Source organism: Homo sapiens, chromosome 17, assembly GCF_000001405.40.
Source record: "Homo sapiens chromosome 17, GRCh38.p14 Primary Assembly".
In the NCBI taxonomy this organism is placed as follows: domain Eukaryota; kingdom Metazoa; phylum Chordata; class Mammalia; order Primates; family Hominidae; genus Homo; species Homo sapiens.
The window spans coordinates 39197829-39209216 of NC_000017.11; the positions used below are offsets into that span (position 1 = coordinate 39197829).

Below are 11388 nucleotides of genomic sequence, written 5' to 3' on the forward strand. Positions count from 1 at the left end.
GCCGCAGGTGGGCCTCTGACTGGCCGTGGGGTGCAGGCGGCCCGCTGGGGCGGGAAGGCAGAAACTAGGCGTGGAACTTGGGGGAGGGGTGGGGGGGCGGTCTACCAGTGGATGCCGAGCGCTGATGGGGATTGGCATGGCTGGCACCACCCCCCTTTTGTCCCAAACCTCTCTTCCTGCGGGTCCCCCCAACCCACTCCTGTTTGGACCACCGGAACTTCCCGGTCCCGGTGATCCTGGGACCTGGCTTTAACTCCTTTCTCCCCAGTGTGGGGCCCAGGCTGCCTCAAACCAAACAGAAAAGCCTCTCCCTCCAACATGGCTCTGGGGCTGCCGGTGGGAGGCTGAGGCTGAGATGGGGAGGGTGTCCAATAGAGACAGCAAAATAAATCCCAGGGGTCCAGGAGTTCTGCCCTAATCAGTCACTAGGATACACCGCCCCCCCAACCCCTGTTCTTCCAAAAGGCCAGGAATGGGGCTGGGTGAGGTCCCTGCTCTTGGATGAGAAAAGAGGAAGAAATATGGAGCTGAGAGAGGAGAAGCTGGTAAAATCAGATCTCATGACCTTTGACCTAGAATTGCGCCACCTTTACCCCTGATTTAGGGAGAAACATCCAAGATCTGGATGCCACCCACCATGACTGGTGGAGAGAAGAGGAATAGGAGATTCTGGGCAATAGACTCTGGCGCCAATTTGGCTCAGGCTGTTTCTGGTTGTATAGCCCCGGACAAATCACCTCTCTGAGCATCAGTTTCCTCCTCTCCTATAAAATGGGGTTGCTGGTACTGTGGAGTCTGTGTCACCTGGTATTATTGGGAGGATGAGGGAGAATTAAATGAATTGCTGGGGTGTTTGGAGAAGCTGTAAGTTTCAATGAAGGGGTCACTCATGACAGGAGGACCCATTCCCTTCCTACTCCACCCCTTCTCCTGCTCCACAGAAAGGAGAGATGGAGAAGACCCTCTCCAGGTCAAGTGACCTTACAATAAGGCCACCACCTTGCTGTGTTCCGCAGGACAGGAGACTATGGGACTCCTCCTCCTCACCCAACTCTAATAGCAAGTGAATGGTCAGTCTGTCATTCCTCTGATCACAACACCTTGGGGAAGGCGGAGCAGTGAGTGAAGATGAAGCCCATTAGAAACGTTCCAGGAGAGTTCCAACCCTGAGCAGGGTTTCCACCTGCCCCTTGGAGACAAGAAAGGCTGGCATAACCGCAAAAGTATGGGCTTTGCAATCAGAAATATCTGTGTTCTGAATCTGTTACCTTAGCTGTAAAATGAGGGCAACGCTAATCGTGTTGTTGTGAGGAAGTAGCATAAATGTTGCTTCCCTTTCTCTCTCTTCTACTTTCTCAGCCAGGAAAGTTGAGATGAAACGGATAGGGTGATCAGCAGGAACCAATCATGAGTTGGAGCCTCAATTCAGATGTAGACTTCTTAAACCCCAGAATGTTCTTCTTGGATTTTTACATTGGGTGTTCCAGATCAGAAGAAAAGGACTGCTTTTTTTTTTTTTTTGAGACGGAGTCTCACTCTGTTGCCCAGGCTGGAGTGCAGTGGCGCAATCTCGGCTCACTGCAACCTCCGCCTCCTGGGTTCAAGCGATTCTCCTGCCTCAGCCTCCCCAGTAGCTGGAATTACAAGCACGCGCCGCTACGCCCGGCTAATTTTTGTATTTTTAGTGGAGACAGGGTTTCACCATGTTGGCCAGGCTGGTCTCGAACTCCTGACCTCAAGTGATCCGCCTGCCTTGGCCTCCCAAAGTGCTGGGATTACAGGCATGAGCCATCGAGCCCAACCCAATTTTTTTTTTTTTTAATTTTACTTTCTGCAATCATTCATCCATTCAGCCAGTGCGGTATTTCTGAGGTGTGTTCGATCGCGGATCCATGCCTGCCGCAGTACAGTTGTGAGCCAAATGAGACTGAGACTAGTTCCCGCCCTCCAAGAGCTTGCAAGACCCGCAGTGGCGTAAAAACACTAACATCTTTTAGTGATCGATTCTGCACTCCAGGGGTTTTCAATCTACTACAAGAGTGAATAAGAGTTCGCCTTTGTCTGATATCTGTTGTCATTCTCTCTCGCTTCTTTAACTGATTTTTTCTCAGCTAATAAAACATCCACCCACAACCCCCCGAACGCCCGCAAACACCAGGCCACTCTAGCAAAACCTCTCTCACTCCGCCTGCGCAATCCAGCTGACTTCCGGTTACAGATAACCACGTGATTGGGAACCCTTGCTGCGCATGTCTAGTAGGAAGTCGGACTATACCACTTTCCCTACGGAAGGGGTACTTTTTTATGTTTTTAAGTTTAAAACCGATTTCTGATATTTGACTTTTATCATTTCAGGCCTATATGGAGGCTATGAGTGAGTTTAGTGTGGCAGAAGATGAAAGAACCGGACAGGAATACGGACGAAATTGGAGCAGGGTTTGGGCTCTCCCCTTCGCAGATAATGGGAGGAGCCGGGCCCGAGCGAGCTCTTTCCTTTCGCTGCTGCGGCCGCAGCCATGAGGTGAGGGCGAGCTGGTCTCCATCAGGCGCTGACGCGTGTCGACAAGGGACTGTCGGTCTTGGGACCGCAGCTGGGGTTGGGGGAGATGAAATGGAGGCCGCCCTAAAGCGGCCGGTCCCGGGGTTTGGGGTAGGCCGGAGCACTTTCGTCCCGGGCCTCCGGAGTGAGGGGGGGCGGGGAGCGTCGCAGCAACTGAGACCAGGAAAAGTCTGCCCCGGCTGGTGCCGCACCGCACACGTGTCCGGTCGACCCACGCGAGCAGAGCAAACGGAGCGAACAAGACCAAGCCGTGGGCCCTTTCTTGCTTGGCACACCCGGAGCGGAGCCGATCTCTGCTTTCACGTGATGTAGGGCAAGCCTAGTGTAGGCCCCAGGCCTCCGACTGCCGAGAGAGGTGATCTCTAACTCTTGACTCCATTCACTCCTTTGGCCTCTCATAAAGGAAATCTCTGCGAATAGCCGAACGAGGCTTGTTACTGTGATAAAACAGGGAAATAAGCCCAGAAAACAGAGTAACTTGCCTGCATTCCTAGACTAGAAATCAGGTCTACTCACCTCGAATATTCTTTAAACGCTGAGTACCAGAAATGGCATAACCCCCCTATTCAATCCAATAAGTCCTTGGCTTGACTTTCCAGAGGAGAAATGCGAACATGAGGCTCCGAGAGGTGAAGGCATAGCGTGGGTTTTGAAGTCTTAAACCCAAGGGGGCCAGCTGCATAGCCCAGAGCCTTAAAGATGATTTAGGGAAGAGTCTTATTTCGCGGCTGTGGTGTGGGTCACAAAGGGCAGGTCTTGATGGGGACGTTCATTCTTGCCCAGGATTGGCTTTCAGAGTCTAATCATGTTTTCTGTGTGTCTAGTATGCTCAGGCTTCAGAAGAGGCTCGCCTCTAGTGTCCTCCGCTGTGGCAAGAAGAAGGTCTGGTTAGACCCCAATGAGACCAATGAAATCGCCAATGCCAACTCCCGTGAGTACCTGGGATCTGTCTCTTCACCCTACTTCCTTCTTTTCTCCTGCGTCAGATTAATGATAACACAATTGTGTTGACTTTTTTTTTTTTTTTTAGACAGTCTTGCTCTGTTGTCCAGGCTGGAGTGTAGTGGTGCCATCTGATCATTGCAACCCCTGCTCCCAGGCTCAAGTGATTCTCCCACCTCAGCCTCCTGAGTAGCTGGGATTAGAGGTGTGCACCACCACACCCAGCTAATTTACTCTTTATATTTTATTTTATTTTTTTTGGGACAGAGTCTCACTTTGTCACCCAGACTGGAGTGCAGTGGTAGGATCTCAGCTCACCGCAACCTCTGCCTCCCAGGTTCAAGCGATTCTCCTTCCTCAGCCTCCCAAGTAGCTGGGACTAAGGCACGTGCCACCACACCCAGCTAATTTTTGTATCTTTAGTAGAGATGGGGTTTCATCATGTTGGTCAGGCTGGTCTCAAACTCCTGACCTCAGGTCATCCATCCACCTCAGCCTCCCAGAGTGCTGGGATTATCGACGTGAGCCACCACACCTAGCCTGGGTTGACTTGTTACAAACCTAGGAAAGTTCATTCAGAGTGTCTATAAAATGGAGGAGTCATTGTATCAGGCTTGTTCTTTTGAGTGTGCTTTCATATATTTAAAATGTAGAAATGGCCAGGCATGGTGGCAGGCATCTTTAATCCCAGCTACTTGGTAAGCTGAGGCAGGAGGATCATGAGCCCAGAAATTCAAGACCGGCCTGGGCAACATAGGGAGACTGTCTCAAAGACAAAGGGTATTTCTCACAACCTCTGTTTGTGAAGGAAAAAGAAAAGATAGAGGTTTTTTGGGTTTTTGAAGGCAAGAAATAAGTTCCAGTGTTTCCATCCTTTTTGAGACCGTGGGGCCAAGAATGTGAGCAGTGTCTCTGGCCTGGCCTATTTGGACTCTGTGATGTGCTTGGGCCCCAGTTGACTGACCAGGTGCATTATGCTTTCCCAGGTCAGCAGATCCGGAAGCTCATCAAAGATGGGCTGATCATCCGCAAGCCTGTGACGGTCCATTCCCGGGCTCGATGCCGGAAAAACACCTTGGCCCGCCGGAAGGGCAGGCACATGGGCATAGGTAAGTGTGGTCATCTTCTCCTTAAGAAATGATAGGTGCTGGCATCTATGCTGAAATATATTCAGGATCTAAGCACTCTGTCTCATCTTGAGCCTGTTTCTTACTCCTTGATATTTGATGTGTTTTCTGCCTGTGTGCAAATCAGAAAGTTGGTGCTGGTATTGGAATTGAGAGTATCCCTGGTAGGAGGTCACATTTACTAAGTCCCTACCTACACTATGCCAAGGATTCTGTACTTTCTAGTTTCAGAATGATCGAAGGAAGCTCCTTACAACGTGCTGTGTTGCCTTGGTGCACTGCCTGTTACACCCACATTCTGCATGAAGTGAATGGGGAATTATTGCTGTATTTGTGCTTCCTTTAAAATTGAGTAAACGAAAGAACTTACGTAGTTGGGATCATCATCTGGAAAATGGAAGTAATGCTACTTAAAATGAGGTTGTGAGGATTAAATGAGTTAAGGACCCTGACTTGAAACTATATTCACTTGGTGTACTTATACACAGTGGGCCTGGGTAGTGGCCCGTTCCTAACTCATCTTCTCCACAGGTAAGCGGAAGGGTACAGCCAATGCCCGAATGCCAGAGAAGGTCACATGGATGAGGAGAATGAGGATTTTGCGCCGGCTGCTCAGAAGATACCGTGAATCTAAGAAGATCGATCGCCACATGTAAGCACACCCTCTTGGGCCCAGTACCCATTTGCTGCTTTGATGGCTAGTTCATTTCCCAGAGATTTTTTTTTTTTTTTTTTTTTTTTTGAGATGGAGTCTTGCTCTGTCACCCAGGCTGGAGTGCAGTGGCGCGATCTCAGCTCACTACAACCTCTACCTCCCAGGTTCAAGTTATTCTCCTGCCTCAGCCTCTTGAGTAGCTGGGACTACAGGCATGTGCCACCATACCTGGCTAATTTTTTGCATTTTTAGTAGAGACGGGGTTTCACTGTGTTAGCCAGGATGGTCTCGATCTCCTGGCCTTGTGATCCGCCCGCCTTGGCCTCCCAAAGTGCTGGGGTTATAGGCATGAGCCACCACGCGTGGCCCACAGAGATCTGTCTTACTGGCCTTGGGTAGGGAGCTTTTTTTTTTTGGAGACAGAGTCTCGCTCTGTCACCCAGGATGGAATGCAGTGGCACGATCTTGGTTCACTGCAATCTGCTTTCGAGGTTCAAGCACTTCACCTGCCTCACCGTCTCAAGTACCTGGGATTACAGGCATGTACTACCACGCCTGGCTAATTTTTGTATTTTTAGTAGAGATGTGGTTTCACCGTTGGCCAGGCTGGTCTCGAACTCCTGGCCTCAAGTGATCCGCCCGCCTCAGCCTCTCAAAGTGCTCAGATTACAGGCCTGAGCCACCACGCCCAGCCATGGGTAGGGAGCCTTTCTAAGAAAGTTTTTCTATTCTGGTCTTTCTTTTTTTCCCTGTATGTCATCAGGATAGCCCAACAGTTTATTTGCCAGGCAAGTTCTATCTAGGAACTGCACACAAAAAAGTCATGGTTTAGGAAGTAATTCATGCAGCAATAGGAGAAAAGAAAGGAAGCTACAAGCTTAGTGACCTTGGGTGGAGGAACAGCTCACAAGGCAGCCTCTGATCCATCACCAACCAGCATCTCTTCACTCCGTGTACCCTGCAGGTATCACAGCCTGTACCTGAAGGTGAAGGGGAATGTGTTCAAAAACAAGCGGATTCTCATGGAACACATCCACAAGCTGAAGGCAGACAAGGCCCGCAAGAAGCTCCTGGCGTAAGTTTCTTTTCAGAGTCTTAGGGGAACATTCTTAGACCTTTGAGAGTTGTTCTTAGATACTTAAAATGTGCCAATGCCTAAGTCTTGACTTGCACGTAGTCTGTCTTAGGAATACAGCTGTTCCCTTAGAGGCACCCACTCCTCTGTCCTGTACACACCCACTCTTCCTGTCTCGTAGGGACTAGAGGTTAGTTGAAGCAGGAGCCTTTGGTGGGCCCAGCAACTCATTCCAGAAGCTGACTAGGCTCAAAGGGAGAGGTCTGGGGATGTGCTTCTGTCTCCCTAGCATCTCATCTCTTCCCAAACTGACCCGTCTTTTCTCTTCCCTGACCAGTGACCAGGCTGAGGCCCGCAGGTCTAAGACCAAGGAAGCACGCAAGCGCCGTGAAGAGCGCCTCCAGGCCAAGAAGGAGGAGATCATCAAGACTTTATCCAAGGAGGAAGAGACCAAGAAATAAAACCTCCCACTTTGTCTGTACATACTGGCCTCTGTGATTACATAGATCAGCCATTAAAATAAAACAAGCCTTAATCTGCCTTCCTCTCTGCTTCTTGCAAGGTTTACGGTTACTGAGTGAGGTTTTTTTTTTTTTTTTGAGACGAGTCTTGCCCTGTCGCCCAGGCTTGAGTCCGATGGCGCAGCCTTGGCTCACCGCAAACTCCACCTCCAGGTTCAAGCAGTTCTCCTGCCTCAGCCTCCTGAGTAGCTGGGATTACAGGTGCGTGCCACCACGCCCGGCTGATTTTTGTATTTTTAGTAGAGACTGGGTTTCACTGTTGGCCAGGTTGATCTCGAACTCCTGACCACAAGTGATCCACCTGCCTCGGCCTCCCAAAATGCTGGGATTGCAGGCGTGAGCCACTACACTTGGCCTGCTCACTGAGTCTTTTACCTTGTTTTAGTGGGATGTAGGGAGAAAAGGAATGGCTTTTATGCAAGCCTCCAAAATACTGTGCCTCAGAACTGCCCTTCGAAGCACGAGTGACACCTAAGAAGTGGTCTCAGAATGTTGGTTGGGACCAGTAGTTGTGACATCAGTTAAGGAATCAGTCTTTACAAAAGCCATAGGAAATACTTAGGGTGTTTATACTTCTCAGCTGACAAGTGGGGGTTACAAATGGGACCTGAGCTTGGACTACTGGCTACTACCTAAGCTGTCACTAAACAGCTTTATTGAGATACAGTTGAAAGTTTGAGACAGAATCACCCTGTCACCCAGGCTGGAGTGCAGTCGGCAACCCCTGCCTCCTGGGTTCAAGCAACTCTCCCTGCCTCAGCCTCCTGAGTAGTTAGGATGACAGGCACCCACCACCATGCCTGGCTAATTTTTGTATTTCTTTTTTTTTTTTTTTTTTTTTTTTTTTGAGACGGAGTCTCGCTCTGTTGCCCAGGCCGGACTGCGGACTGCAGTGGCGCAATCTCGGCTCACTGCAAGCTCCGCTTCCCGGGTTCACGCCATTCTCCTGCCTCAGCCTCCCGAGTAGCTGGGACTACAGGCGCCCGCCACCGCGCCCGGCTAATTTTTTGTATTTTTAGTAGAGACGGGGTTTCACCTTGTTAGCCAGGATGGTCTCGATCTCCTGACCTCATGATCCACCCGCCTCGGCCTCCCAAAGTGCTGGGATTACAGGCGTGAGCCACCGCGCCCGGCCCCCTAATTTTTGTATTTCTTAGTAGAGACGGGGTTTCGCCATGTTGGTCAGGCTGGTCTTGAGCGCCTGACCTCAGGTGATCCACCCGCCTCTGTGCCTGGCCCCCCAGCTCTTTTCTGAGGAACTCTTCTGTTGGAGTGATGAGCTGGCGTGCCTTTCAGGGCATGTAATGGGCTGATGGAAAAGGGCAAGACCTGAGTGGGAATGGCAGGTTGGCTATGGTGTCAGGGCCAGCAGACTCCTAGCTCTGCCTCTGGCGTCCTCATGCCATTCTGGGCAGGATGGGCAGGTGGGTAGCAGAAGGCAGGGAAGCCCACACTTAGAAATGTCCCAAGGAAGCCGGGCACAGTGGCTCACGCCTGTAATCCCAGCACTTTGGTAGGCCGAGGTGGACAGATCATCTGAGGTCGGGAGTTCGAGACCAGCCTGACCAACGTGAAGAAAACCCATCTTTACTAAAAATACAAAATAAGCTAGACATGGTGGCACATGCCTGTAATGCCAGCCACTTGGGAGGCTGAGGCAGGAGAATCGCTTGAACCGGGAGACAGAGATTGCAGTGAGCCGAGAGCCATTGCACTCCAGCCTGGGCAATAAGAGTGAAACTCCATCTCAAGAAAAAGAAAATGTCCAGAGGACCCCCCATCGTATGCCTCACAGCCTGGGATGAGAGGACACTGGCTTCTGGATCCCCCTGGCCACTGGAGCGGCCAGCGTGTTTCACCCATTAGCTCTTGCCCTTTGAAGTGGGGAAGCTGAGGCCTAGAAAGGGAAGGGTCTTGGCCAAGCTCCCAGCTTGGTGTGTGGGACACCTGCTTCCCAGGCCTGGCCCAGAGGAGGAGGGGTAGTGGAGACTGCCCACCCCCAACCCCTCCATGCAGTAGAGAGATGACAGGAAGGAGAAGCTGGGTGTGGTGGCTCACGCCTGTAATCCCAGCACTTTTGGAGGCCGAGCGGGAGAACTGCTTGAGTCCAGGAGTTTGAGACTAGCCTGGGCAACATGGCGAAAACCCATCTCTACAGAAAATACAAAAATTAGCCGGGCATGGTGGTGCACCCCTGTAGTCCCAGCTACTCAGGAGGCTGAGGTGGTAGGATCACCTGAACCCGAAAGGTGGAAGCTGCAGTGAGCCAAGATTGCACCACTGCACTCCAGCCTTGGTGACAGAGCCAGACCCTTCCCCCCAACCCCCAACCAAAAAAAAAAAAATGTCAGGAAGGAGAATGAGGTAACCCAATATGAGACCCTCCCAGGATTCCAGAGCCTGCAGCGCAGAAGCTGGTTTCCACCCTGGACCAGAAGATGGTGCTACTCGCTCACAGGTCAATGCAGGTGTCAGCTGCTGCCTCACTGGAGTTTTTTTTTGGTTTTGTTTTTGTCTGTTCTCGGGGGCGGGAGAAAGAGATGGGTTAGGAAGTTGTAGGAACCCACCTCTTGGAAGGCCTTGGGTTTCCCCACTTCTTTCCTAACCTCACCCCAGGCCTGAAGTTGGCCTCTTTCCACCATGGTCCTCCAACCTCTTCCCAGGCCAGTGCCTAGGAGGGATCCACTCCCACAGGAGCCCCAAGCAGAAAGAACCCCTAAAGTAACTGCTGGATCTTTTCCGGGTCCTGTAGCCTTGAGAAAATCTGATTAAAAGATGTGTCCTCTTGTTTCCTTACTTATGGAAAAAGAAAAAAGAAAAGATGTGTCCTGTCAGGCACATTGGCGTGAGCCTGTAGTCCCAGTTATTCTGGAGGCTGACTGGGAAGGGCTACGTGAGCCCAGGAGTTTGGGGCTGCAGTGAGCTATGACGGTGCCTGTGAATAGACACTGCATGCCAGCCTGGGCAACATAATAAGTCCCTGTCTCTAAAACAAAAATATCAAAAATAATTTGTTGGCTGGGCGCGGTGGCTCACGCTCGTAAACCCAGCACTTTGGGAGGCCGAGGCGGGTGTATAATTTGAGGTCAAGAGTTAGAGACCAGCCTGGTCAACATGGTGAAACCCTGGCTCTACTAAAAATACAAAAATTAGCCAGGCGTGGTGGCACGCGCCTGTAATTCCAGGTATTCGGGAGGCTGAGGCAGGAGAATCACTTGAACCCAGGAGGCAAAGGTTGCAGTGAGCCGAGATTGAGCCACTGCACTCCAGCCTGGGTGACAGAGAGAGACTCCATCTCAGGGGAAAAAAAAAAAATTGTAAAAAAAAATGTTTTTTCTTTCAAGAGCATACAAGTGTCCCTATCATATAATTCCACACCCTTTCAAGGAGCTCGTGACCCACACCCTTACCACGTAAAGAATCCCTGAGCAAACCCAATGCTTGATTTTCTAGAGGAGGAAACAGAGACCCAGAGGAGCCAGTGACTCTTCTGCTGTGCTCAGCAGTGCGGCAAACAGGCCGGGGGTGGGGGGGCTAGGCTGGCTACTGGCTGGTGGCAGACACAAGTGGGGTGTGCAGAACCTCAGTGCTGCACGAACACTGGCGCCTGACTCTGATTCCCAGGCTGCAGTCTCCCGACGTGGGAGGGTGTGATTCAGATTGGGGTGCAGCAGAGGCACTGAGCACAGCTGCTACTGCAGGGCTGTGAGCTGGAGAAGAGGGTACAGAGGGGCCTGGCCTCCTTCCAGTACTGCCTCTGAGGCTACGGCAGGGCTAACCTAGGCTGGCTTCCTGCAAAGCACAGGGAGGCTGAGGCTGCCTTCCTTGCACTCCTCAGCAGGTGCCCCCACCTGCCCAGGCATTGGGTGGACAGCGGGTAAGAATGGGGGTGAAGAAGGTTGAAGGGGCCAAAGGAAGCAGTGCTGGCAAAATGAGTAGGGTTGCACCGAGGGGCTCATTCTCTCTTCTCCCCACCTCCAGCATCCATCTCTCCAGACTCCCTCCTCTTTCTGCATCTCCCTGAAGTCCAGGGAACCTTCATCCCACACAGTACAAGCCAGGTGAAGCTCAGCTTCTGTGTAGGGGGGCATGAAGGGCACATGTGGGTCAGAGACAACAGAGCCAAATGGTGGGATTTGGGATCACCAGTAGCTTCCTAGGCACCCTTTGCCCCAGACCAGTAGTGTTGCTGGTCCGTCCACCCCCAGAGTGGGCACAGAGGAGGGCAAAGGCTACAGTGGGGCACCAACTGTTCCCAGGCCCTAGGCTGTGAGCATGCTGCATGGGGTTCAGCCACCCAAAAAAGCTGCTGTGCTCAGCAGTGCGGCAAATAGGCTGGAGGGGGATGGGCGTCCAGGCCAGCTGCCGGCTGGTGGCAGACACACAGCTGGGTGTGCATAAGGCGTGGCTGCAAGGCTCTCAGGCTCTTGATCCCTGGAGCCTCTGGCCCAGCGTCTCAGGGTGTCTCTGTCTCCATTTTGTTAGTTTAAGGCATTGAGGAAGCCAGG

General features: G+C 51.7%; 1 protein-coding gene and 1 long non-coding RNA gene across 3 annotated transcripts, besides 4 other annotated features; one reads left to right on the forward strand and one right to left on the reverse strand.

Moving 5' to 3' along the window:
• Positions 9–138: a silencer, noted in NCBI's record as "silent region_8451". NCBI's record gives its function as "represses an Ori minimal core promoter by ATAC-STARR-seq in GM12878 lymphoblastoid cells {active_cell/tissue: GM12878}" and the evidence as "EXISTENCE:reporter gene assay evidence [ECO:0000049][PMID:35858748]".
• Positions 2327–3386, reverse strand: LOC124903996 (uncharacterized). The gene is made up of 2 exons (XR_007065745.1): positions 3077–3386; positions 2327–2970 (listed from the first exon to the last, which is right to left on the reverse strand). It is a non-coding gene; the product is annotated as an uncharacterized LOC124903996 (long non-coding RNA).
• RPL19 (ribosomal protein L19) lies at positions 2455–6904 on the forward strand. Of its 2 annotated transcripts, none has more exons than NM_000981.4 (6): positions 2455–2521; positions 3385–3491; positions 4489–4611; positions 5161–5281; positions 6249–6359; positions 6697–6904. In NM_000981.4, the coding sequence occupies exons 1-6, from the start codon at positions 2517–2519 to the stop codon at positions 6818–6820; spliced, it is 591 nt and encodes a 196-aa protein (NP_000972.1). In that variant the 5' UTR covers positions 2455–2516; the 3' UTR covers positions 6821–6904. The 2 variants fall into 2 exon arrangements, with proteins under 2 accessions (NP_000972.1, NP_001317129.1); NM_001330200.1 differs by having other exon boundaries at positions 2495–2915; positions 6697–6902.
• Positions 6374–6574: a silencer, noted in NCBI's record as "peak2833 fragment used in MPRA reporter construct". NCBI's record gives its function as "represses an SCP1 promoter by STARR-seq MPRAs in K562 erythroleukemia cells {active_cell/tissue: K562}" and the evidence as "EXISTENCE:reporter gene assay evidence [ECO:0000049][PMID:32103011]".
• Positions 9364–9623: an enhancer, noted in NCBI's record as "active region_12091". NCBI's record gives its function as "activates an Ori minimal core promoter by ATAC-STARR-seq in GM12878 lymphoblastoid cells {active_cell/tissue: GM12878}" and the evidence as "EXISTENCE:reporter gene assay evidence [ECO:0000049][PMID:35858748]".
• Positions 11293–11382: an enhancer, noted in NCBI's record as "active region_12092". NCBI's record gives its function as "activates an Ori minimal core promoter by ATAC-STARR-seq in GM12878 lymphoblastoid cells {active_cell/tissue: GM12878}" and the evidence as "EXISTENCE:reporter gene assay evidence [ECO:0000049][PMID:35858748]".

What these genes read in the sequence shown, in the direction of transcription:
- RPL19 (NM_000981.4), top strand. An exon ending in AATCGCCAATGCCAACTCCC is followed by an intron (nt 3,492 to 4,488) that starts GTGAGTACCTGG and finishes ATGCTTTCCCAG; the next exon opens with GTCAGCAGATCCGGAAGCTC. An exon ending in GGGCAGGCACATGGGCATAG is followed by an intron (nt 4,612 to 5,160) that starts GTAAGTGTGGTC and finishes TCTTCTCCACAG; the next exon opens with GTAAGCGGAAGGGTACAGCC.